The sequence below is a fragment of the Homo sapiens genome, chromosome 5 (genome assembly GCF_000001405.40).
Source record: "Homo sapiens chromosome 5, GRCh38.p14 Primary Assembly".
Lineage (NCBI taxonomy): Eukaryota > Metazoa > Chordata > Mammalia > Primates > Hominidae > Homo > Homo sapiens.
Window position 1 is genome coordinate 6,847,387 of NC_000005.10, and position 25,624 is coordinate 6,873,010.

Genomic DNA, 25,624 nt, shown 5'->3' on the forward strand with positions numbered 1-25,624 from the left:
AGAATTGGATATTGAAGAGCTAAAGTGTTTTGATTTTTAAAATTTTTTATAATTTCAACTTTTATTTTAGATTCAGGGGATACATGTGCAGGTTTGTTACGTGGGTGTATTGCGTGATGCTGAGGTTTGGTGTATGAAGGATCCTATCATCCAGGTACTGAGTATAAGTACCCAAGATTTAGTTTTCCAACCTTTGCTCCTTCCAATAGTCCACAGTGTCTACTGTCCCCCTCTTTATGTCCATGGGTACTCAATGTTTAGCTCCCACTTGTAAGTGAGGACATGTGGTATGTGATTTTCTATTTCTATGTTAATTCACTTAGGATAATGGCCTCCAGCTGTATCCATGTTTCTGCAAAGGATATGATTTCATTCCTTTTTATGGCTGTGTATAATGCCATGCTGTGTATGTACCACATTTTCTTTATCCAGTCCATTGCTGATGGACACCTGGGTTGATTCCATGTCTTTGCTACTGGGAGTAGTGCTGCGATGAACACAGAAGTGCCTGTGTCTTTTTGGAAGAACGATTTATTTTCTTTGGGTATATACCCAGCAATGGGATTGCTGGGTTGAATGATAGTTCTGTTCTTAGCTCTTTGAGAAATCTCCACACTGCTTTCCACAATGGTTGAACTAATTTGCATTCCCACCAACAGAGTATAAGCGTTTCCTTTCTCCGCAGCCTTGCCAGCATCTGTTGTTTTTTGACTTCTTAATAATAGCCATGCTGACAGGTGAGAGATGGTATCTCATTGTGGTTTTGATTTGCATTTCTCTGATGATTTGTGATGTTGAGCTCTTTCTCACATTTGTTGGCTGTTTGTAGGTCTTCTTTTGAGAGCTTCTTTGGAGGTTCTAGCAGGGGAGCGCAGCTACTCGTATACCCTTGACTGAAGACCAGTCCTCCTCTATCGGGTATGGTCGTCCTCTTCGACCGAGCACACAGCTTCAGGAGGGACGCACATGGAGCAGTGAGGGAGGAAGGGGACACCCGCCTAGCCAGCCAGATCAGCCGAACCAACCCTGGCAATCAATGGGGTGACAGATGTCGCAGCCAGATCGCCCTCACATCCAGGTCTCCTTTTGAGAAGTGCTTGTTCATGTCTAAAGTGTGTTTCAAAGTTCAATGAGACATAGACCCAGTAATGCGGACATGAACATATTTGTCCTGCTTGAGAATGTGTCTCAGGACATGGGGATCTTCTCTTTGAGGAGCTGTTCTGCCGATTCTGGGCCCCCTCATTTTGGCTGGAAGGGAAGGAAGGGCCCTGTGCCCGCTGATGAACTGCACTTCTGTCTTCATCTCTTGCCAAGACTTGCTCAGCAAAAACGTGCAGTGGGGGAAGAGCAGGAGTCTAGGTGCGTAGGCACAGCCAAGGGTCTCCTGGATCAAGGGCGGGCTGGGTTCCTGCAGTGTGACCTGTGCAGTCACTTAGGGCTCCTGTTCAAAGGGCCCAAGCCACATTTAGTCTTTGCTAACTTGAAATTCTTCATAATTTTTGAATAAGAGGCTCCAATTTTCATTTTGCATGGAGACCCGAAAGTTATGTGGCTTGTCCTGGTTACAAGAATAATGAGGAGAAAAGCCAAGGGGAGGGGGAATAGGGGCAAATAGGAGTGGAGTTGAAAAAACGGAATGTTTAAGACAGAAGATCATATATTTTAGGATACTTTGCAGACAGCAAGAGAGGAGAGTGAGAGAGAAATGACGATGGTTCTTCATCATAAAGAAAAAATAAAAGACTAATTGTGTCATGTGGCCTCCAAGATACTTGGAGTAAAAGATGTGTTGGTTCCAGGTAAATCTTAGCTCCAGGTGCTGCATGGACAGCTTCAGTGTTTGCATTGTCTGGAGTTAAAATAAACATGAGTTTGCCTGCATGGTCATCTCCATTTTCAGCAGAAGTCAATTAGGAAATGATTTTCTTCAAACCATATTGACTTTTTTTTTTCAGAAAGATTTGATTCCTAAATGACAGGGTGACTAAAGATCAAATCATTTTTCCATTACATTTAATGCGGGAGGTTTCCATTTTTTAGGCCTCCCTGCAAAAGAGTTTCAATTGCATTTCCGTTTGTTCTCCAAAGGCAGTTTTACAGTTCTCTGATTTACGCTAAGGTCAAGAGAAGGTTTGCAAGCTGCCACAGAACATAAATTACAGAACCTCCTGACAAAATGGTGGGTCAGAAAAGTAACGTGGAATACATTAGTGAAGGGTAGATTAACATGCCTTTAAGTGCTAATTTATTTCTCAAATGTGCAGCTTGAAGTCTTTCTCTCCTATCACTAGGCTCAAGGCTGAGTGTCTTCCATATTGATCAGGAGCCTCTGCAGCAGGCACACGCAGGACGCTGTGCTGTGCTGTGCATGGTGAGAAGTGTGACTCACTGCTGGTGAGAATTATTCAGCAGACAAAATGAACTGGGAGGAAGTGAGTGATCTTTACCTCTTAGGCGAAAGGATGCAATTATCAAGGAAACCAATGCACAGAGCACAAAGCACCAATCATGTATTTGGCTCTCCTTGGTGTGTTTCGTGGTGCATGGTGAGGGGTGCACAGATCTCCAGGGTTTGCAGTCCTGCTGGGAGAGGAGAGTCACAGACATAAGTCATTCAGTGGCAACCCATGGCTGATGGCTTGCAGGAGGAAGCCAAGCCACTGCTTGAGGGAGAAAGGCATTGTGTGTGAGATTCTTCTAGAAGGTGGGTCTTCAGTAGACCTTGAGGGAAGAGGCTCGTGGGGGTGTTTGGCAAGGATGGGGGAGGCCTGTGGGGGAGGGGCGCCTAGAGCAAAGGACAGATGATGGTGTGAGTCACTCTGGGGAGTGGCGTAAGTAAGGCAAGTAACCCCGAGAACTGTGTTTCCTACGAAGGCAGTGGGCACAGGGTTGGGAGTCAGAGTGGGGACAGACTGTGGGTGGGGTCAGGGTCTCCTTCTTTCTACACTGCTCAAAGTGATCCCCCACCGGGAGGGGGGTTGCAGTGCTGAATCCCCACAGCCATTGCTGACCATGATTTCAGGAACAAAGAAGCAATGTGCATCCCCCTTAGCAGCCCTCATCTGAGCTTCCTGGGTCCAAGGCATGAAGCCCAGGATTAGATATGGAGAGAGGACTAAAACTCCACTGAACTCATGAAACTGGTGATCCGGTTAGAAAGAGAATCACATGCAGAGTGTTAAGGCTAAATATCAAAAAACTGCAGAGGAAGGAGGCATCACTGTGACCTGGAGTTAAGTCAGAACAGATGTGGTGGAAGGGTCAAGGTCCAGAGGAGTCTCAAGCAGGCACACGCCTCGGCTCCTTCATTCATTTACTCAGCAAAGAATGTGGCCACCACGGACCCTGCTGGGTGCTGGGTGGACAGCAATGATGGACAAAGATGTGGAGCCAAGACAGACCACAAATATATAAAAAACAAATCATTAAAGTAATTTCAGATGCCAATAAAGAAAATAGACCAGCGCGGCAGGATAAGAAGGATGAGGTATGGGGAGGAGAGTCTGATTGGATCATCCTGGGAGGTATCTCTGAGAAGCAGCGTTTTCAAGGATACTTGGATGATGGAGATGGGGTCAGGGTGGGAAGAGAGTTCTCCCAGGAGAGAAGGGTGTGTGGACAGAAACACACATGGCATGTGTAGGAGGTGAGGAGGTTTGCTGAGCTCCCAGCACTGTTCTAAGAGTTTCACCTGCATCAATTCATAATCACCCTAAGAGAGAGCAGGGATGTGTTTCAGATTAGGAATGCGAGGCTTGGAGAGACTTCACCGCTGCTCCAAGGTCACAGTTGGAAGGGAACGGGGCTGGACCTGGAACAGCAGTCCCTCTGACTCCAGGGCTGACTTGCTATGTGTTTTCTCAACATAATCCTCCAAACAGCCTCATTGATCAGCCAAGTGGGGCTGGGGAAGTGGAGCTCTGTGCCCAAGCTGGGCCCCAAGTGCCAAGAGCAAATAGAAGAGCTGGGAAAAGAAGCAACATGTCAGCTGTATTTCTGCGGTACGCCATTCAGCTGTGGGGCTTTGCAGAGCAGCCTCCTGCACTCATACTGGATGAGGAAGACCAGGAAAGATGATGCACCCTAGGCTGGAAAATGCCAAGCCCCTTAGGGAGTAACACAGCAAACACTCTTAGTGTATTTTTTCTCAGTGGTTTAATGGAAATACCAGTTTTAGGAAACTAATGAATAAAGAGGATCTGAATTTTACTTATAATGAAAATGCAAGGCAAGATTATCTTTTAATGAGAAACTCACTTATTTGGGATTTCCCACTGAAGAGCACCAAGACAGGATATTTCTAATTTTTTCAATTATGCAAACTTTAGAAATTAAAATCCAGAATCCGTGAAACAGATCTCTGGATATTTGTTAAAACATTTTTGAGCTTTGTTTGAAGTAGTCCATGAGACCCATGAGATCCATATTCTTAATTCTGGTTCAATGTCATATGTCCATTTTGGGTCTGTACATAATTGATTCTCTAGGCTGTGCATATCTTTGTACCATCCTTGATGCTACAGACTTCAGGGAGCACTGCAGAGTTTCAGTGTGAGTTCTCACATACAGAGGCTTCCTTTCTCCTCTCTGTATTCTTTCCTCTTGCCTCTAGTAAAGACAAGGTTAGAAGAAGGGTAGAGGTCTCTTTAGAAGCTTGGCTGCTGTCTGTGGCCTGGGGCCTCAGCAGGAAAAGCAGAGAAATCAAGAAGGGACTGTCTATTCTACTTTAAGTGACGTCCACAGTGCATTTAGAATTTTAGGAGTGTAATTTCTTATTCCTGCATGCTCCTTCTTAGTAGCTGGGGCCTATTTTAAAGTTAAGAGAATGAGGAACACAGAGGGCTCCTCCTCATTTGTCGTCATCTGAATTCAGACACTGAGAACATACAGGGGGCAGTGAAGTGTTTCTTCTGTTGTTGGTTTGCCTTAAATTAAGAGATAGCCCCAAATAAGCAGGCCATACCTTCTGCAGAGCTATGGAAGGCCTCGTGTCCATCCCTCCATGCTACTTTCCCTCCTCAACCCCCACCAAAAAAAGATGTGTTCCTGTGGAGCCTGTGAATGTGACTTTATTTAGAAAAGGACTCTTTGAAGATACAATTAAGAACCTAGAGAAGAGGGGATCAGCCTGGATTATCTGGGCAAGTGTTCTCATCCTGGGTTGTTACTTCTTTTCCTGTGTAGAAGTAAAATACCGATTTGCACAAGGTGTATGTTTGAGGGGCACAGAGGTGGAAGTGGGTTCAGAGTCAGGCCCAGGTGAGTGTAGGTGGAAGTCCTGGGGGCTTTGCTTCTTTGCCAAGGTTGATCCTCTGCAATCCTTTCTCATTGGCCCACTCATTAATTCAGCAGATCATTAGTCCAAAGCCAGTGCCATCCAATTATAGCCAGCTCCCCAGGTGAGCTAAGTTCTTCTGCTCTCCAAAGCTTGAGAATGGCTGGCTGCTGTTTGTCCCAATCTTAAAATGGCTTCTACTGGCCACTTTGAGCTGGTTGTGGACACAGGCTGTGCAGAAGGTGCTGGGGATGCTACCGCCACCTGCTCCCCAGCCCTCTTTTAGTGCGAAGTGGGAATGCTAAACCTGTGTTTCCCTAAATCCCTTGCATTTAGGGTCTGGATATAACTTAGGTTTCGCCCTGTGAATCCTTGAGCTTAGACTCAGTCCCGATGGGGAGGGGTGGGCATGCTCTCTGTTTTTTCATTGCAGAGGTGGTGTGGAGCTGGCAGCTGCTGTGGGAGCTTCTGGAGTCAATGGGTGGCTGCTGCACCCTGCAGCTCCCTCACCATTGCAGGATGGAGCTCTCTTGGTGACCTGGTTTCCCTATGGCTTTGAGCGTTTTTCTTGTGTGTTCATCCTGGAATTTGTTTCTTTACTGATATGGTTTGGCTGTGTCCCCACCTAAATCTCATCTTGAATTCCCATGTGTTGTGGAAGGGACCCAGTGGGAGGTAATTGAATCATGAGGGCAGGTCTTTCTCATGCTGTTCTTGTGCTAGTGAATAAGTCTCACGAGATCTGATGGTTTTATTTTATTTTATTTTATTTTTATTTTTGAGATGAAGTCTCACTCTGTCGCCCAGGCTGGAGTGCAGTGGTACGGTCTCATCTCACTGCAACCTCCACCTCCTGGGTTCAAGCCATTCTCCTGCCTCAGCCTCCCGAGTACTTGGACTAAAGGTGTGCACCACCACGCCCAGCTAATTTTTGTATTTTTAGTAGAGATGGGGTTTCACCATGTTGGCCAGGATGGTCTTCACCTCTTGACTTCGTGATTCTCCCTCCTCAGACTCCCAAAGTACTGGGATTACAGGGGTGAGCCACTGTGCCCAGCTGATCTGATGGTTTTATAAGGGAGAGTTTCCCTGCACAGTTTTTTTGCCTGCTGCCATCCATGTAAGATGTGACTTGCTTCTTCTTGCCTTCTGCCATGATGGTGAGGCCTCCCCAGCCACATGGAACTGTAAGTCCATTAAACCTCTTTCTTTTGTAAATTGCCTGGTCTCGGGTATGTCTTTCTCAGCAGCATGAAAACAGACTAACACATTTACCCTTCCCAAGTGATTCTGTGAGCACTGAATAATTTATAAAAATTCCCTTTTGCTTAACAAGGCTATAGTGGGTTGAATGCTACTTTCCCTCCTCAACCCCCACCAAAAAAAGATGTGTTCATGTGGAGCCTGTGAATGTGACTTTATTTAGAAAAGGAGTCTTTGAAGATGTAATTAAGAACCTAGAGAAGAGGAGATCAGCTTGGATTATCTGGGTGGGCCCTAAATTCAGTGACAATGTCCTTATAGGAAGAGGAGAAGGCTGGGCGCGGTGGCTCACGCTTCTAATCCCAGCACTTTGGGAGGCCGAGGTGGGCGGATCATGAGGTCAGGAGATCGAGACCATCCTGGCCAGCATGGTGAAACCCTGTCTCTACTAAAAATACATAAATTAACCTGGGATGGTGGTGGGCGCCTGTAATCCCAGCTACTTGGGAGGTTGAGGCAGGAGAATTGCTTGAACCCAGGGGGTGGAGGTTGCAGTGAGCCAAGAGGGTGCCACTGCACTCCAGCCTGGTGACACAGTGAGACTCCATCTCAAAGAAAAAAAAAAGGAGAAGACCACGTGAATGAAGGCAGAGATTAGAGTGATGCGGCCACAAGCCAAGGAGCTTGTGAAGGCCAGGAGCCGCTAGAAGCTGGGAGAGCCAGGAAGCATCCTCCCCTAGAGCCTTTGGAGGGAATGTGGCCCTGTGAACACCTTGCCTTTGGACTTCTGGGCTCTAGAGCTGTGAGATAACAGTTTCTGTTGTTTTAGACACACAGTGTGTGGTTATTTGTAGAGAAGCCTCAGGAAGCAAACACATCTAGCTAGAGAGGATTCTGTTCTCTGCAGTGGAGGCTTGACTTACTCACTCAAGTTTTCTCTCACAGTTGCAACTAGCACAAGGCTGGAGCATTCATAAACTCAACTGAAGGCTTGGAGAGGACATAAAACTATAACACTGTGAAACCTTAGCTCTGGCTTCTCAATATCACTGGCCCTGGGAGCCATTGGCCAAACTCATCGCAGGGTCATCACCAATGATCCATCTCTTCATCTGCTTCCACCATTGGCTATTGCAGAAACCAACTGACCTCAGATGGAAGTGCCCGGACACAGCACTCTTCCTCTTTTTTTTCTTTTTTCAGACGGAGTCTCGTTCTGTCACCCAGGCTGGAGTGCAGTGGCGCAATCCCAGCTCACTGCAAGCTCCGCCTCCCAGGTTCACGCCATTCTCCTGCTTAGCCTCCCGAGTAGCTGGGACTACAGGCACCCACCATCACGCCCGGCTAACTTTTTTGTATTTTTAGTAGAGATGGGGTTTCACTGTGTTAGTCAGGATGGTCTCGATCTCCTGACCTCGTGATCCGCCCGCCTCGGCCTCCCAAAGTGCTGGGATTACAGGTGTGAGCCACCATGCCCGGCCAGCACCCTTCCTCTTACAGACAGCATGCTTTCTTCCTCTGCCAGCCAAAGGCAGCAAACAGAACTCAAATATTTAACATCAAACAATGTCTGCAGAAATGTCCTAGTCCATTTTTATATAGGGTGACTTATTGACTATGCCTCTTCCTTCCAGAACAAGCTCTGGCATTGGCCACTACAATGGTATTCCATTCTGGCTGCTATAACAGAATTCCATAAACTGGGTGGCTTAAAGAACAAACATTTATTTCCCACAATTCTGAAGGCTAGGAACACCAAAATCAAGGCCTGGGAGATCCAATGTTTAATGGAGGCCCAATTCCTTGTTTGCACGTGAGCATCTCATTGTGTCTTCACATTACAGAGAGCAGAGAGGGAGAAAGCAAGCTCTCTCATGTCTTTTTGTAAGGGCACTAATCCCATTCATGAGGGCTCCAACACTCATGACCTAATCATCTGCCAGATGCTCCACCTCCTACCATCCCCTTGGGGACTGGGCTTCAACATACATATTTTTTTGGTGGAGGGTGAGTGGGACACAAACATTTAGCTAATAGCAATGATTTAAGCAAAAAGGCCCACTGGGGTTTTCCTGGACTAAGAAATAAACAACAACCTCCCCCACCCCCAGCCTACCCCCAAACAAAGAGCTCAGTATTTCCTCCCAAGATAAATACTGTTGCTTCCCTAAAAGGATAGGCAGTTTAAAAGAATGTTTTCCACACTCCAAGTGCATCATTGCTGCTTGGGTTCTTCAAGGTTGCAGGAAGATAAGACCCTGCTGGGCGCCGTGGCTCATGCCTGTAATCCAAGCACTTTGGGAGGCTGACATGGGTGGATCACCTGAGGTCAGGAGTTTGAGAGCAGCCTGACCAACATGGTGAAACCCCATCTCTACTAAAAATACAAAAAAAAAATTAGTCGGGCAGTGGTGGCAGGTGCCTGTAACCCCAGCCACTCGGGAGACTGGGGCAGGAGAATTGCTTGAACCCAGGAGGCAGAGGTTGCAGTGAGCCATGGCCTGGGTGACAAGAGTGAGACTCCATCTCAAAAAAAAAAAAAAAAAGATAAGACCCCGATGATGTTTCTTCTCCTTGTGTTCCCCGACGCAGTCTCTAGCCCACACCCTGGTTTGAGCTCTCAGCAGATCCTCCCACAGTCTCTGCTTCCATTTCTTTGTCCATGTTCTTCAAGTCTTTTGTCTGAAGTCCCTTTGTGCAGCAAGAGAATAAATGGTCCTAATATTGCTAATCTTTGAACAAAGAAATTTCCAAAAAGATCCTCATAGGATGCATTGCTCAGACCCATGGGAGTATAGGCCATCAAGTCCTTAGTCTTTTCTCAGCTATTCATCCTTCACAGCAGATGTGTGGTCTTACGTGGTTCCTCTCTTTTTTGAGCCAAGTATATGCACAGCCCAAACAGGCTACATCAGCTTAAATGCACTGGAGGAAGTTCCAGCTCTTCCCACTGATATGATCTGCTTTATCAGTTTGTCAATATGCCAGCTGGTGGAATTGCTGCTGATGGCAGCATAAAACATCTCGAGGCAGACACCAGCTGTTGGCAGGACAGCAGCAATGGCCGAGAGGATACCAGGCTCCTGCCGGGCTCCAGCACTCTGTCTTGCTTGACTTACATTTTGTTTGCGTTAGTAACTGATATAAACCCCAGCTGATCAGGGCTCAAAGGGCTTCAGGGGATGTAGTTGTGTATGGAGACAGAACTGCTTAGCAGAGGTGAGCCGATCACTTTATTGGCAGTGGCAACCCAAGAAAGCAATGGTAATTCCAATTGGCATTTCAGGCATGGAGATGCTGGGGGCTGAGTGTAGAAATGATTAATGAAGGTGGCAGGGGGTGGGGGGGCGGGTGTCCTTGCTTTCTTTAGACTTAATCCTTCTGCTGTGGTCAAGCCCATTCTGGCCACCAAAATAAGATTCTCAAATAAAAAAATAATTAAAAGTTATATAGGAATTCCGGGAATGGCAGAATTTAAGTTCTTGTTGTGGTGAACTATGGCTGTGAGACCAAACGAACTGCATCTGCATATAGCGATAATGTGGCGTGAGATGGAGGAAGGATCCCAATGCCTGCAGGTGTCAGGATGTGGATGTGCACAGCCCATCCTCAGAGCCTACCTAGATGGAGCCTCCTACCCTAATAGTATCAATGCAGCAGGTGTTTATTGTAAGAGCCAAACTGTGTACTAAACATTCTGGGCATTTTATGTTTTAATCCACTTGGTGCTCGGTCATTATGAGCGGTATCTACATTTAGCACTGTATTTTGTAGATTCCACACCTGAGACGTGGAGAGGTTGCTTACTTGTCCGGTGGTGCAGGGCAAGGAGCAGAGCTGACATTCAATCAGTTGGTCTGACTGCAGAGTCCACGTCTCAACCGTGAAGATCGTGGCTCAGAATTGCTGTGGACAGTTCCAAGCTGTGTTGGGGACATTTGTTCAAGTTCAGCCTGAAGCGTCGTTCAGAAGCTGAACTCACCTGTCATGCTTCCAAACCCACTGGTTGTTTAATTGATCTTAAAGTTTTCAAGGTCTGAGACAAAACAAATTCTCTGGTCCCTGGTTAATGGCAAGAGGAGAGAAACGTGATCAGAACGCCTTTGTCTCAGGTGGAAATGGGGGCCCACCATGAGGCATGCACTTCTTTTTCCCACGGAAAGCTAAGATGATACAAATGTTCCATCAGCGAAAAGTTCAACAAACAAAGAGACAGCATAGCAGGGTGGGGCAATGGGCTTTGCAGCCGGAATGGGACCACACGGGCTGGCTCTTGCGATGGTTGTTAAACAAGTTGATATTTGTAACACCCATAAGAGACAGGTCCATAGTTAGTGCTATAGTAAATCATGATATACATGAAAATGGTTACACAGTCCTGTTAGTGGACTTGAGATTGAGTTCTGACTTTCCTCTCCAATGATAAAATTTGTTTTTGTTAGAAATTTATCCAGTCAAACAATATTAACCATCGAGTTACTCATAGAGCCGGGAAGATTTAAAAATGCATAGATGAGCGAGACCTGCCAGAATCACATTGCATTTTGGATCTGGGACTACGTAGCCAACTTCTCAAATTCCCCTGGCCTCCCAGTGTCCTGGGCCCTGGTCGTTGCTCATGGAACAGCCTGATCTTGGCCACCACGACAGCTGCCACTGCTCTTCTGTAGGCCCTGCCCCTTCCTTGGCCTCCGCCAGGGTGGGCGTGTGCATCACCTTCCTGTCCTGGGGCAGTGCTGGCTCCAACTGCCACTTCCTGACCCTGAGGAAGTCCTGGACACAGGACCTGATACTTGCAGCAGCTGCCAGGAGGGGACCAGTAGCACAGCTTAGCATGTGGAAGCTATGGTCCATGGGACATACTCTACCAGTGTGAGACAGGAGAGGGGGAGTGCACACCACACTTCCTCTCTCCTCCTGGCTCCAGGGGACTGTCCCGAGGCACCGGCTCTGTCCCTCCGTGTGGCAAAGTGCAGCGAGGTCCTGTGCCCTGTTCTCTGTGAAACAGCGGCAGCACAGCCCTGCACCATCTTGGACTGGCTTTCCCTCTCTCCCTGCCTCTCCTCCCTTCTCCTTCTTCTCTCCACCCTGGAATCGCAGCTCCTCAGATCCAGTAGCCCTTTAGTTTGGCCTCAGGTTCTGTTTTCTGGGAAACCTGGCCTGAGACCTGTCTTGAACTGCAATATTCTCCTTTCCGTTTTTGACGGATGCGTTCGATCCGTCCAAACCCTTCAGTCCCCTGTGGACAGGTCCTCCCTCTTCATCGTCCAGCCTGGTCCAGACGGTCAGCTTTATTTTTAGGGGCTCCGGTATCCACGCCTGCTGCCACTGCCTGACTCAAGTTTCCTCCCATCTGTCATAGGCGTCTGCCCGGACCTCCTGCCTTTACCAGCTTACTCATTGTTGTAATGTCTTCCCACTAGCCTGATGCATTTTTCATCCCCTTACAATTCCTTAATCCAAGCCTTGCAGAATGAGCTCAGGGAATGTCATTGGGATCTGGCATGACCTGGCCTTGACCTGTCTCTTCCCAGTTGCCACCCATTTGCTTCTACACGTTGCAGTCATTTATTCAACATCTCCTGAGCATCTTCTAGGTGCAGGCCCTGTGGGAGACACTTACAACATCAAGGTCAGCATAAAAGGCAGTCTCTCAGTTTCCTGTGCTGCCATAACTAATTAGCATGATCTTGGTGGCTTAAAACAATAGAAACTTGTTCTTTCACAGCTCTGGAGTCTAGAAGTTGGTTCCTTCCAGAAGTTCTGAGTGAGAATCTGTCCCAGGCCCCTCTCTCAACTCCTGGTGGCTGCCGGCCGTCCTCCACAGTCCCTGGTTTTTGGCTGCGTCCCTCCAATTTCTGCCTCTGTGTTCATGTGGGCTTTCCCCTGTGTCTCTGTGTTGAATCTCCTCTTCTTTTTCTTATAAGGACACAGGTCATTTAGGGTGAACCCTAAATCCAGGATGATCTCATCCCAATATCCTTAATTTAATTACATCTGCAAAGACCCTATATCTAAATAAGGTCATATCGTTAGATATGGGGTTTAGGACTTGGAACTATCTTTTCTGGGGGTGCCATTCAACTCGTTACAGGCAGAAGATGATTTTTCATTCTCATGCAACTTCCTGGGGTTGGCATTTAGGAGCGTTAGAGGTTAGCTGTGCTGCCTTCGTTCATCCTGCATGCTCCTCCCTCCCAGAAGAGTATTTCCTTCTCCGTCTCCTCCTCCTTCCAGGCACAAGTTAAAGGCTGAGTTTCCACGGAGGCTGACTGGGCGGCCTCCTTCCAAGCTGCTTCTACCCCTCACCTTGTGTACCCTGAGTGTGCGCTGGAGTCATCTGTCTAGAGTTTCCCTCCCTTTCTGGGTTGTGACCTGCTGGAGGACCAGGGATGTCTGTGGTACAGCGTCATTTGGGTGATGTTTACTCTGAAGAAAATGGAGACTCCTTCCTGGAAGATGACTCTTTTTGGAGTTCTTTCATTACAGATTTTTTTTTTAGCCTAATAACGTAGTTTAGACATTGGTTGAAAACAGTTGCATGAATGACACTTATTATGTGTCTTAACCCTTGAAGATTTCCATGAAAGATAAAGACATAATAGTCACTGTTACTAAGTAATGTATCATGCTTCCTTTTTAGAGTTAATATCTTTGCTCTTAAATACTGTTTACTCAATTTTGTAGACCAAAAAGCCTTGAATGTAATGCATTTTAAATGTTTCTTTATCTTATTTGGCTTAACAATGTTGATGAAGAAAGCCCCCAAAGGGAATATAGATGAAAGTAAATTCTGGTTCGTGCTTCTCACTGCCCCATTTCTATTTATTTAAAGTAACCATCAGCAGGTGAAATGACCCACAAGTTATCATGCTGTGAAAACATAAGCAGCAGATTACCCCATTTTTTATACTGAAAGCAGTCTTGTGAGCTACACCTATTGCTACAACTTTTACTAAAGCATTTATTGCTTATTTCATGGATTGCTAACTCCTTGGCATTGGTTGGGATGGCTGTGAGGATTTATGGATAAGTCTTCATGGGTCTCTCTCTGGAGAAAAAACCAAATGTCTCTCTCCCTCAGTTGAACACAGGACGTTGGGCACTGTGCTCAGTCTGTCACCAAGGCAGGCAGGAGGGAAGCATGGACCCATGACCACTCTTTCTAGAAGAAATTAAAGAGGAAATATATCTGGCATATTATCTTTTCTTAAATGGATATTTTCCTTCAGTGGTAACTAAATGCACATAATACAACATTCTAAAAATATAAATTGGTCAATATACTGAAAAATGTCTTCTTCCCTTCCTGTCTGCCAGCTGCTGAGTTCATATCCCCAGAGGCAATCTGTTATTCGCTTTTGTCTGTTACATCCTTCTGGAGACATTCCACCTCTTATAGCTAAATCGGTGACACAGCATACACACTGTTCTGAACCTTGCTTCCTTCCCTGACAATATGTTTTGGAGCTTATTCTATATAAGTTCTATTTCAGTATAGAACTGCAACATTCTCTTTTACAGTGGCATACGTTTCTTACCAGTAATGTTCTGATATTTATTTAACAATTATATTACTGAAGATCATTTGATATTTGAATCTTTTGCTCATACAAACAAGTGCTGCCCTGAATATTCTTATAGATACACTGCTGTACATATGTATGAGTATGTCTGTAGGATATGTTCTTAGAAACTGATTTGCTAGGTCAATGTTTATGTGCACTTAAAATTTTGAATTCCACTGTCCAATCATTCTTTGAATAATTTTCCCCAGTTAATATTCTCGCCAGAAAAATGTGGCAATGCCTGTCTCCCCACATGCTCACCAGCACAATGCATTACCCACGTGTGCAAGTTTTGTGATCTGATAGGTAAAAAATTTTATGTCACTGGAGTTTTAATTTGCAGCTGTTTTATGTGTGCAGTTTCTTCATTCATTCGTGTATTCATTCTGCTGTAATTAGTTGAGCACTGACTGTGCTCTGGGCTCCGCTCCAGGTGCTAGTGATGCAATCCTGAACAGAGCAAACCCCAAATCTCCTATTCTCATCCAGCTTACACTCAGAGGAGATAGGGAAAGGAAAAGCAAATAGGTGAAATAGACAGCCTATATGATGGTGATAAGTTCTCCTAAGAAAAATAAACCAGGGAAGGGGGTTAAAGAGTGCAGGTGGAGGGTTGTATTTTCCATGGGGGAGAAGGAGGCCTCCTGGAGTAGTTGATGTTTGCACAGAGTGAAGAAGACCAGGGTGAAGAAGAGACCACAAAGGAATCTAGGGAGGAGATCCACAAAGACAGAGCAGCAAGCGCACAGGCAGTGAAGAGTCATATTCTAAGGGACTTGCTCAGCATTCATGCTGCTCATCAATAGTGCATAACAAACAACCTGAAACTGAGAGGTTAAGCAGCAATTATTTTCATATGCTTGTGGATTCTGTGGGCCAGGAATTTGGATAGGCCTTAGTGGGGATGCTCTTCTAGCATCTTGATGTTTGGGGCCTCAGCTGAGAAGACTTGAATCTTGGAATCTGGGAATCCGGGTGACTTGAAGGCAGGCACTGGAATCATCCAGAGGCTTTGTTGATCACATGCTGGCACCCGGGCTGGGATGATTCGAAGGCTGGGCTCAGCTGGGACGGTTAAGCAGGGCACCTACCTGTGGTCTCTCCATGACACTGGATCACTCCTTGCAGGCTGGCTAGCTTCTGACAAAAAACATTCTGATGGAAAATGTTCCTAGATTGACACAGGAACATGCCCAGGGGTGTGGCATAGACTCTACCTCTTTTATCAGGGAAATGACAAGGTCATATTATTGGGAGATGCGTTAGGGTTTACCTGAAAAACGGAACCTATTGTATACACACACACACACACACACACACACAAAACTGTTAAACTTATATATATGTATATATGAGATAGGAATTTACTTATTTATTTTAAGGAATTGACCAACAGGATTGTGGGGGCTGGCAAGTTCAAAACCTGCAAGGCAGGCTGGAGCCCCAGGGAAGAGTTGATGCTGCAATTCCAATCTGAAGCAGTCTGGAGGCAGAATTCCTTCTCCATTAGGTGACCTCAGTCTTTGCTCTTAAGGCTTTTAACTGATGGAATGAGGCTCCCTCACATTATGGAAAGCAGTCTGCTAATCCAAAGTTTGTTGATTTCAATGTTGATGTCTAAAAAATACTTTCATGGCAACATTTAGACTGGCACTTGACCAAATATTTGGGTGCTGTGGCCTAACCAAGTGAACACTTAAAACGAACCATCACAGGGGAGTATTGTTGCTGTCATCTTTGGGAAATGTCATCCTCCACATTATGTTTGAAAGAGAACAAGGGAACTGGGAATGTTGGAGTAGGGGAGTGAGGAGGAGCAGGAGGAGGTCAGAGAGGCCACAGGGCGCTGATGTGTTGGGGCCTTTATGCCACTGGGCTCTGGCTTTGATTCTGCAAAAGGAAACCAATGTAAGGTTACGTTCTTAGAAGGGTCACTCAGGGTGCCCTGTAAAGGACCGTAGAAGGGAACAGCATGGAAGCAGGGAGCTCAGTTAGGAATTGCAGTAATCCAAACAAGAGGTTGATATGGTCCTTTTAGAAGATGAAGCTGAGAAGGTCTTGGACATGTTAGGGAGGAGAAAGTAAGGGAGGAGTCCAGAATGATTCCATGTTTTGAGTGAGAAATGGAAAAATGGATTTGAGAATATTTTTATATGTTTCATTTGTATTTCTTGTTCCATAAACTCTCTTGTATCTGTTCCCCATTTTTTTCTATTGCATTTTTGACCCTTTCCTTAAAGATTTGTTAGAGCTCATCATGTGTTGAGAAGATAAGCTCTTGTGAAATAAATTGCAAAGGTTTTTTTCTAGCTACTTGTTCTATAATTTGGATTTTTTTTTGTCACTTAGAATTTATATTTTTGCTTCCTGCAGTCTAATTTGTTTGTCTGTTATATCTCCTGGGATCAAGCTTTCTTATTTTTTGATGGGAATGAACAAAGTGTGAGGCCGACTTCTTTGCATAAAAATATTTTCTTCTTCCAGTAGGCTTGGAAAACAACATTTGTGTAAGCCAGGATTTAGGAGTGATAAAGGTTTGCAATTAACACATTTATAAACACAGTTTAAACCGCTGTCTTCACTGTTTGTTTTCCCAAAGCCCCATTTACAGGACAGTTGTATCTTAAAGGACCTTAATTGAATTTTGATTCTTTGCTTTCCTCTTTACTACCACGTCTGATAGTGATTTTGGCAGAGAAATGAAGTAGGCAAAAGAGAGGTTGAATAACAGAGAAGAGAATCTAGAAATGCTTAGTTAGTTATTGAATAATTGAGTTGAAATAGTTTTTCTCTTTTCATATTATGAATTTTAGTGCTCTAACCTTTCACTGGCATAATAATTTGGTTGAACTGTAGTCAATTATACTTAACATAAACCTCCCAATAATAAGTATTTATGAAATCAGTTTTATAAAACAAACACATTATTCTTGGTAGTACATGCTTTCCAGGAACACGTCTTGCACAAAATCCTTTACCTTCACAGAACCAAATATTATTTACATATTGATTGTCTCTCTCTGTGTGTTTGAATATAATAAAAACAGATTGTACTTTATCAGTTTAATAAGAAACTCAACTTTTTATTCTCAATATGTTAAGTTTGGAATTCTCGTTAACAACGTTTAAGGCACATGATCACAAATCTTTGAAATTGGGTAATGCTTCTTGCATCTCATGAAGAGTGTTCTAATGAGATAATCCAGCTTGGGTTTTGATGAATAACAGATACGGCACGTATGCATATCATATTCTTTGTACTTGTAGTTCTTAACACTAGACTCACACTCTATCTTGGTCATACTCCAGGGTAAGTGGACCCTTCCTATTTTTTCCACTTTAGGGCCAGCAGTGCAGCTGCTCAGAATCTGTTCCTATTCCTTTCTAGACTGAACTCCTCCCACACGATTCCCGGTTTCTTTCTTTTTGAAATGGGCCGTTGTTCATTCATTTAATAAGGGTGTATTAACCAATTACTGGTACTCAGTTAGTACCATGAGTCATACAAGTAAACGTAAAATATGAATTTCTCTCTTTTTGAGGAGATTTGAGGCTATTCAAACAAAACCACTATCAACAATGCATGACCAATGGCAACTTCTCTTTTGCGGAAGAGTGTATAGAAGAGAGAGATGAATATGGCTTGGAATCTGGGAAAACGTTGGAGGAAAATGGAACTTAGTTGTGGCCTTGCAACTTCTATAAGACCTGGAAGAAGCAGGGAGTTTGGGGAAGGACCATGTTAAGGCAGATGATCATCAGTTCACTATTCTAGAACTTTATGGCGCTACCACACTTTGACTACTATCTGTGAATTTTGCTAAATTTGTAATTATGCCTGGATATGAAAGCAACATACAAAGAACTCTGAACCCAGAAGACAGATTGTTGATGTCTACTATTCAGCAACTTAGGTTTTTGGAAACAGAAATTGTGTCTTTTTCCATAAAGAATGGAATGTGTTGAGGGAAGCTTCTGTAAACCCAATCCCTCCTTCTCTCCTCAATCCACCCCATTTGTGGTAGTGTCTTAGAAGCACTGGGGGGCCTCGTCTTCTTATCTCCAGTTAATGGGTGTGTTTGTGGCATGTAGGTGTCAGCAGATGCAGATGAAGGGTGCTGGTGTAAGAGAATCACATCCTGGCTGGGTCAAGCTGGCCCAGGTCCCAATGCATAGAAATAAAGACCCAGTCCCATCACTGAGCAAGGCTTTAGCCCCTAAATTTTGACTGACTTAGCTCCAAGACCAGACAGGAAGGAAACTTCAAGGTCCCTTGAACTCTTTTATCTGAGAGCATAGTTCTCCTGAGTTGGCTGCCTTCCTCATTTTCTGGGTAATGCCCTAACCCCCTAAACTATACATTCATAGTTGTGCCAAGAATAAGGCATCTGTATCTCCCCAAGTCACACCACTCCAAATGCTTCTCCAAATAGGACGAAGGGCTAAAGAGAAGAAACAGATGTTTACACTTCTTTACTCCATGCCTGTTGCAGATCGAGTTGTGTTCCCCAAAAGTATATGTTAAAGTCCTAACCCTCAGAACCTGTGAGCGTGGCCTATTTGGAAATGGGGTCTTTGCAGATGTAACCAAGTGAAGGTGAGGCCATACTACATAGGAGTGAGCCCTAATGCCATGACTGGTGTCTTATAAAAAGAGGGAAATTTGGACACAGAGACACAGGGGAGAAGGCTGTATGAAGATGCAAGTAGATCCTGCAGTGATGCAGCCACAAGCCCTGGAACACTGGGGATTGCCAGCTATGCCAGGACCCAAGGAAGAGGTGAGGAAGGACCTTCCTAGACCCTTCAGAGGCAGCACTGCCCTGCTGACACTGCCATTTTGGACTTCTGGCCTCCAGATTGCAGGAGAATGAAATTCTATTTTTAAAAGCACCTAGATTGTTGAACTCTGAGTTTGTTCTGGCAGCCCTGGGCAACGAAGACTGGGTGTGATGGTTAAGTTCAGGTGTGAGTTTGACTGGGTTAAAGGATACCCAGATAGCGGGTAGGGTGTTATTCCTGGGTGTGTCTGTGGGGTGCTTCTGGAAGAGGCTGGCATTTGAATCAGTGGACTGAGGAAGGAAGATCTGCCCTCACCCTGTGTGGGCGGGCACCATCCAACCGACTGAGGGCCTGGATAGACCAGGAGTGGGTAGCCATAGAGGAAAACTGCCCTGCATATGCTTTTTTTTTTTTTTTTACTATTTGGATTGGTGCAGAGAACTGGAGAGCAAGAAGCAATGGGGAAGAAACCCATTTCTGAAGCCCTTGTGCCCTGAGAGCAGGCAATTAACAGGCAGCTTTGGTGTGAGGAGCACTGCAGAAGCACAGCCCGGGTGCCAGGATGGCACGAGAGACACCACCCATGTCTCGAATGTGACACGTCCCAGAGGAGGGAACAGCGAGCCTGGGCTGCAGGTTGCACTGGCAGGAGTCCTGCAATGGAAGAAAGCATGTACTGGATACTGGGTGATAAGAGAGTATTCATTATTTATTGCTGTATAACCAACTACTGCAAAACTTAGCAATTTAAGGCCACAGATATTTCTTATCTCACAGTTTCTATGGGTCAGGAACCCAGGGGTTACTCTTGATTGTAGAACACAACTTAGCTAAGCAGTTGAGCTCAGGGTGTCCCACAGGTTCCAAGCAAGGTGTCAGCAGGGGTTGCTGGCATCTCAAGGCCCCCCAGGGGATGACTCTTCCGAGCTCATTGGTGTGGTGGTTGGCAAGATTTATTTCCTTGTGGGCATTAGTCAGAAGCCATCCTCAGGTTCTTGCCACCTGGGCCTCTTTGAAGAGCAGCTTACCATGTGGCAGCAGGATTCATGGAAGTGAGCTGCAGGATTCATGGAAGCGAGCTGAAGGAAGGGTCAGAGCGAGCTGAGCCTTGGAGGGGCGTCTCACCATGACTGCCTATTCTGTATTTCAAAGGCAAGTCTCTAGGTCCAGCCTTGAGACCCTCACAGGGAGGGGCTTACACCAGGGCATGAATACAGGAGCAGGGGTCATCAAGGCCTTCTCAGAAGCCCCCAGCCCCCGGGCGTGATCCAGGCACAGGCCTGAAGAGAAAACATGGGACGTTCATGGAATCGTAGCCAGGAGTGCAGGGGAGAGGCAGGGGCCTGCAGAGAAGGGAGCCGGGGACCCCGGGCAGTGAGCCGGGCAGAATCACCGGGAACGACTGGGATGGAAGCTCACTTTGGGTTCACTTTTGTCTAGAACCACAAAGACACCAGCAGGCCTTCCCTCCCGCTTCTCCTGATGGCCTGGCACTTAGGAAGGACTGGCGTGTGTGTGTGTCTGTGTGCATGTGTGTAAGAATGTAAGTACATGTATATATGGGTACTTGTGTGAGTAGTATGTGAATTTGTGTAAGCATGTATGTGTGCATGTGTATGAGTGTGAGTGTACATGCATGTGTGAGTGTCTACGTGTGTGAGCGTGTGCATGTGAGTGATGTATATGCATGCGTGTGTGCACATGTATGAATGTGTGTGTGCACGTGTATGGATGTGCGTGTGTGCACATGTATGGGTGTGTATGGGTGTGTGTGCACATGTATGAATGTGTGTGTGTGTGTGTGTGTGTGTGGCTGCTCTCTGGCTCTGCTTGGATTGAAAAGTGCTGATAAGTTCATCATCCTTTCAGTGCTCAAGTAGCTTAAACAGAATCTAGCACAAAGGGCTGTGTGTTTTTTTTTTTTTTAAAGCTTTATTTTGTTGTACAGAAAAATTGGAAACCAAATTGTGGATGCACTGCAGGCAGCAGTGGTGTCGGGAGAACATCTTGGCTCCAGAAGGCTGCGTGCTGGAAACGTACCTCTCTACACCCATGCTTGATCTCTGCTGCTGCCTGGGCCAGCAGCTAATCCCGCCTGGCCAGCAGCCGCCTCTTCTGCCCAGCCCCTCTGACCTTGGCTGGACAGCTGAGGTGGCCACCTGGGGGCCTGCTCCACTTTGAGGCTCTGCTCTTTGTCTGGCAGTGAGGCTGGCACTGCGTTTTCGCATGAGCTGAGCTGACCCAGTTCTGCTGACGGATCACCAGCCAATCCTGGGCTGTTTATTTCCCCTCCTGCATCAACCAGGCAGCCCGCTGTCCTCTTATTTTTGTCTGGCAGTGCAAGAGAGGCTGCCATGAGTGTGCTAAGTTTCTGATTTCTGTGATCATAGCAAGATTGTCCTAAATTAGACACAAGGTATGTGTGCCCACACACTTTGTTGCTATTGTTGCTGTATTTATGTTGTCGATTACGAGCCTGCCAGTTGCCTGCTCATAGCCCGTGGGTGCAGGGGTCAGATGGCTCTCTGCCCCGCCCCGGAGCTTCTTAGAACAAATGGGATAAACCCACTGTTTCTTAGAGAACTCACAGTCTCTATTGACCTGGGCACTATTTTACTTCCCTTGACTCTAGCTAAGTGGCTCAAATAAGAAGAAAATAACTTAAAATGGAAGATTGGACTCTTGTGCTCATGAAGGGTTGAACTGCTCATTGTCAAGAAGAGGTTCGTCTTTGAGCCTTCAACTCAGTGTGGGCGGCCCCCAGGTCCAGGCTCAGCATCACAGGGGAGGGCACAGTGCGGTGATGCCCTCATCACAGTGGAGGTGTCTTGGGGACACTTTGTCCCCCAGGCTGCCGGCCTTCACCACTGGACTGCAGCTAGGTGATCTGGGTGGACAAATGGGTTAGACCTTCTGTTGATACGGCAGAAACTAAAGCTTTTGAGAGACAGAAATTACGATGGTATATAAGGCAGAAATGAAATTTACTTTTAAAATATACAAATTGCACAAAAGTTTCAAAACGAGGAGGAAAAATGTTTACAAAGACCCTACTGAGCTTTTGTTTGTTCTTTTCTCAGTGAGTGTGTGAATATGTGTGACTGTGCATGTGTGTGAATGTATGTGTGAGTGTATGAGTGCACGTGAGTGCATGAAAGTGTGTGTGCATGAGTGCATGAAAGTGTGTGTGCATGTGTGCATGTGTGTACATGTTTATTCATGTGTAACTGTGAGTGCATGTGAGTGTGTGAGAGCATGGGTGTGAGAGTGTGTGCATGTGTGTACATGTTTATTATGTGACTGTGGGTGAGTGTATGAAAGTATGTGTGTGCATGCATGAGTGTGTGTACATGTTTATTCATGTATGACTGCGAGTGGAAGAGCATATGTGTGAGACAGCATGGGTGTGAGTGTGTGCACATGTGTGTACATGCTTAGTATGTGACTGTGTGTGAGTGTGAGTGCTTGAGAGAGTGTGTGAATGGGTGTGAGTGTGTGCACGTGTGAGTATCCAAGTGTGGGTAGCTGTGTATATGAGAGAGGGGTGAGTGTGTGTATTCGTGTATGTGCATATGTGTTTGAGTGTGTATGAGTACGTGAATGTGGCTAAGTGTGTATGTGAGAGTTGTGTGAGTGTGCAAGAGGGTGTGTGTGCATGTGTGTTTATGTGTAACTGTGTGTGAGTCCATGTAAGAGTGCGTGTGTGGGTGGGTGTGTATGAGTATGAAAGTGTGTATGAGTGCACAAATCCAGGAACATTAAATTTGAGTTTTATATTTTATATCGGTGGTCCCATCCCTAACCCTTTTGGTACCAGGGACTGGTTTTGTGGAAGACGATTTTTCCATAGACCGAGTGGGCTGGGGGATGGTTTTGGGATGATTCAAGCGTATTACATTTATTATGGACTTTATTTCTATTATGATTACATTGTAATATATAATGAAATAATTATACCACTCACCATCATGAAGAATCAGTGGGAGCCTTGAGCTTGTTTTCCTGCAACTAGATGGTCCCATCTGGGGGTGATGGAGACAGTGACCCTGAAGTGTGTTGCTTTATGTCCACTCAACTCTAATCTCATTTTGGTTGCTGTCACTGCAGACAACCCTGCTTCACAAAGATAGGACCTTGAAAATGGAAGCAGGCTTTTCAGTGCTTTTGTGGCAATCTCAGGATATTCTTTAACAATCCAGAATGTATGGAGATTTGAAGTTGTCTCAAACATACTTCCAAGGCCACATCATTTGCAATCTCAAGCAAAATGATGGTGATCCTCTTCCAGCACGGACAAAGTCAGTTCACCTGGCTGATTCATAAACGCGTCGCAGATCCATTCCTTCTCAGTTCGGGGGTATTTGGTGATTGGGAAGTAACGCTCAAGCTCTACTGAAAGCTGAGGTAGGTGATCATGCACCAGCTGGGGGAAAGAAGGCCCTGGCTCTGTCTCTTTCACAATCTCTGCTAATGTTTGAAACATGTCAGTAATGCCGGTGTTCACTTGTCGCCCCCATAATTCCAGTTTGGCTTTGAATGCAGCTGCTTAATCTACTGACTATCTGCCGACTTGAACACAGTTGCCGTTCTCCCCTGAAGTGACAGATTAAGTTTGTGGAGCAGGTTGAATGTGTCACACAAGTAAGCAACGTTTGCAGCCCATGCTGTGTCACTGAAATGTGCTGCCAGTGGTGACTGCTGTTTTAAAAGAAATCTCTGGAGGGGCTCTCATAACTCAAAAACTCTGGCCAGTGATCTACCTTTAGAAAGTCACCTCACTTCTGTGTATCAGAGAAGCCATCTCATCCTATCACACGCATGTCATTCTAAGCACACGTGTATCAGAGAAGACGTGTGTGCCCTGCATCCATCTCCTCACAGAGCTGCACGAACAGACATGATTTAAGGGCATGTACTTTAATGCGGTTGGTAACTTTACTTTAATTATATGCTGCAAAACTTTGTTAAGTGCAGGTGACATATTTTGACTATGCAGAATTTCTCTATGGATGACACTGCAGAGACTCACATTGAGAAGTGACCTCTTTGACCCAAGTAGTGAAACCAGAAAGCCATTCAGTCATGGCAGCCACTCTGTCTGTGCATACACTGACACAAAATGGCCAGTTCAGTTTCCTGATACATAATCATTTGAAGATTTGAGTCGTTCTGTAGCTGTGGTGTTTGTTGACAGCAAAAGTACACCTAACATGTCTTCATGCACATCCTCCTGAAGATATATCTCACAAAAACAAGCATTGTTGCCTTGCTGTCAACATTGGTAGACTTGTTAACCTGAATTGTGTACCAAAGTGACTCATTAATCTCCTCTGACAATTGTGCCTCAGTATCCCCTGATATTTCATCAATTACTCTGGTTACGGTGCTAGCCGAAAGAGGAACATGTGCCACCTTTCAAACTGCCACCTCTTCTAAAAGTTCACGACAGTTGTCCTTAGCAGCAGGCAGGATGAACTCTTCACCAATAGTAAAGGGCTTCTTAGCTTTAGTAATGCGGTTAGCCACCAAGAATGATGTTCTCAGTGCAGACACATTTGATGAAGGGGTGGCCTTCACTAATTGCTTCTGTTCTTCATGTTCATGTTTTTTCCTTTGAAAAACTCCAAAGGCATATCTTTTAATGCAGAGTGCTTGGTATCCATGTGGTGAAGCAATTTTAAAGGTTTCACGGCTTCATTGGAGAGTCACCACATAGTATACAGAGTGGGCTTGGAAAATGCGAATCACCTGTTGGAGTGAACCTGTAATTTAAATAGGACTCTTGGTCTTTTCTTCTAAATGCAGCTTGCTTTATGTTGTCAGTCTTAGGGTCTTCTGCTGTCTCATGATTGGGTCTTTCCCCCTTTTCAAATAAGCTTTCCAGTGACATTTGTTTTTTACTGATTTTGGCTAGGGTTAGCTTGTGGGCTTACCGAAACTGTTACTGAGACAATTGTACAGTACAGGAAAGAGGCGTGGACAGAAGTGGTAAATAAAATAATGGTAGGCCATGTGTGGATTAAAATAAATGTCAGATTCTGACTTAAAGCCTGCCATCGGATGCAACTGTACGATTGAAGTACATCAACTCACTGGCCACCAGAAAGCCTTCCACCAGATGCAGCTTAATTGTCGCTTGCCACTCTCTGATAGGGTTTTGATATGAGTCTGCAAGCAATTGATTTGTTAGGGTCTTTGTGCAATCAAACCTCTTGCTACTGTTAATCTGTATTTTCAGCCACTGCCCACACTAGCATTACTGTCTCAGCTCCACCTCAGAAGATCATCAGGCATAAGATTCTCATAAGGAGCATGCAACCTAGATCCCTTGCATGACCAGTTCACAAGAGGATTCACGCTTCTATGAGAATCTAATGTCACCACTGACCTGACAGGAGGCGGAGCTCAGGTGGTCGTGCAAGCGATAGGAAGCAGCTGTGAATACAGGTGAAGCTTCGCTGGCTCACCCGCTGCTCGCCTCCTTCTGTGTGGCCAAGTTCCTAACGGGCTATGAATCAGTACCGGTCTGTGGCCTTGGGGTTGAGGACCCCTGTTTCATATAACATTATTCATTTATTTTAAGTTTTTAATTAGCTATAATTTTTACCATGTAAACAATGGGAACATGAAACACAAAGAGGTAATTTAGTAGTCTTCTGGTTTCAAAATCCCAAGTGTTTACATTACTAGGCAATTGATTTTGTGTGTGTGTTTGTATTTGTATGCATGTCTATTAGTAGTATCGTTTTCTGCTGCATTTTAGAAAAGTGGTTGAAAGTTAATGATTACAAGG

The 25,624-nt window shown here is 45.4% G+C and overlaps 1 long non-coding RNA gene and 1 pseudogene across 4 annotated transcripts in view; one reads left to right on the forward strand and one right to left on the reverse strand.

Moving 5' to 3' along the window:
• Window positions 1-25,624, forward strand: part of LOC105374642 (uncharacterized) — a 41,400-nt gene that overhangs the window by 666 nt on the left and 15,110 nt on the right. Inside the window, exons 1-3 of one of the 4 annotated variants that reach the window (NR_188253.1) lie at window positions 21,161-21,247; window positions 23,072-23,235; window positions 23,357-23,472. The exons of 1 other annotated variant lie outside the window; for it this stretch is intronic. This is a non-coding gene — a long non-coding RNA (uncharacterized LOC105374642). Of the gene's footprint in view, window positions 1-21,160; window positions 21,248-23,071; window positions 23,236-23,356; window positions 23,473-25,624 lie in introns of those variants that run through there. 2 more of the 4 variants (NR_188252.1, NR_188250.1) reach the window with 2 other exon arrangements.
• On the reverse strand, window positions 838-1,076 carry RN7SKP79 (RN7SK pseudogene 79; annotated as a pseudogene).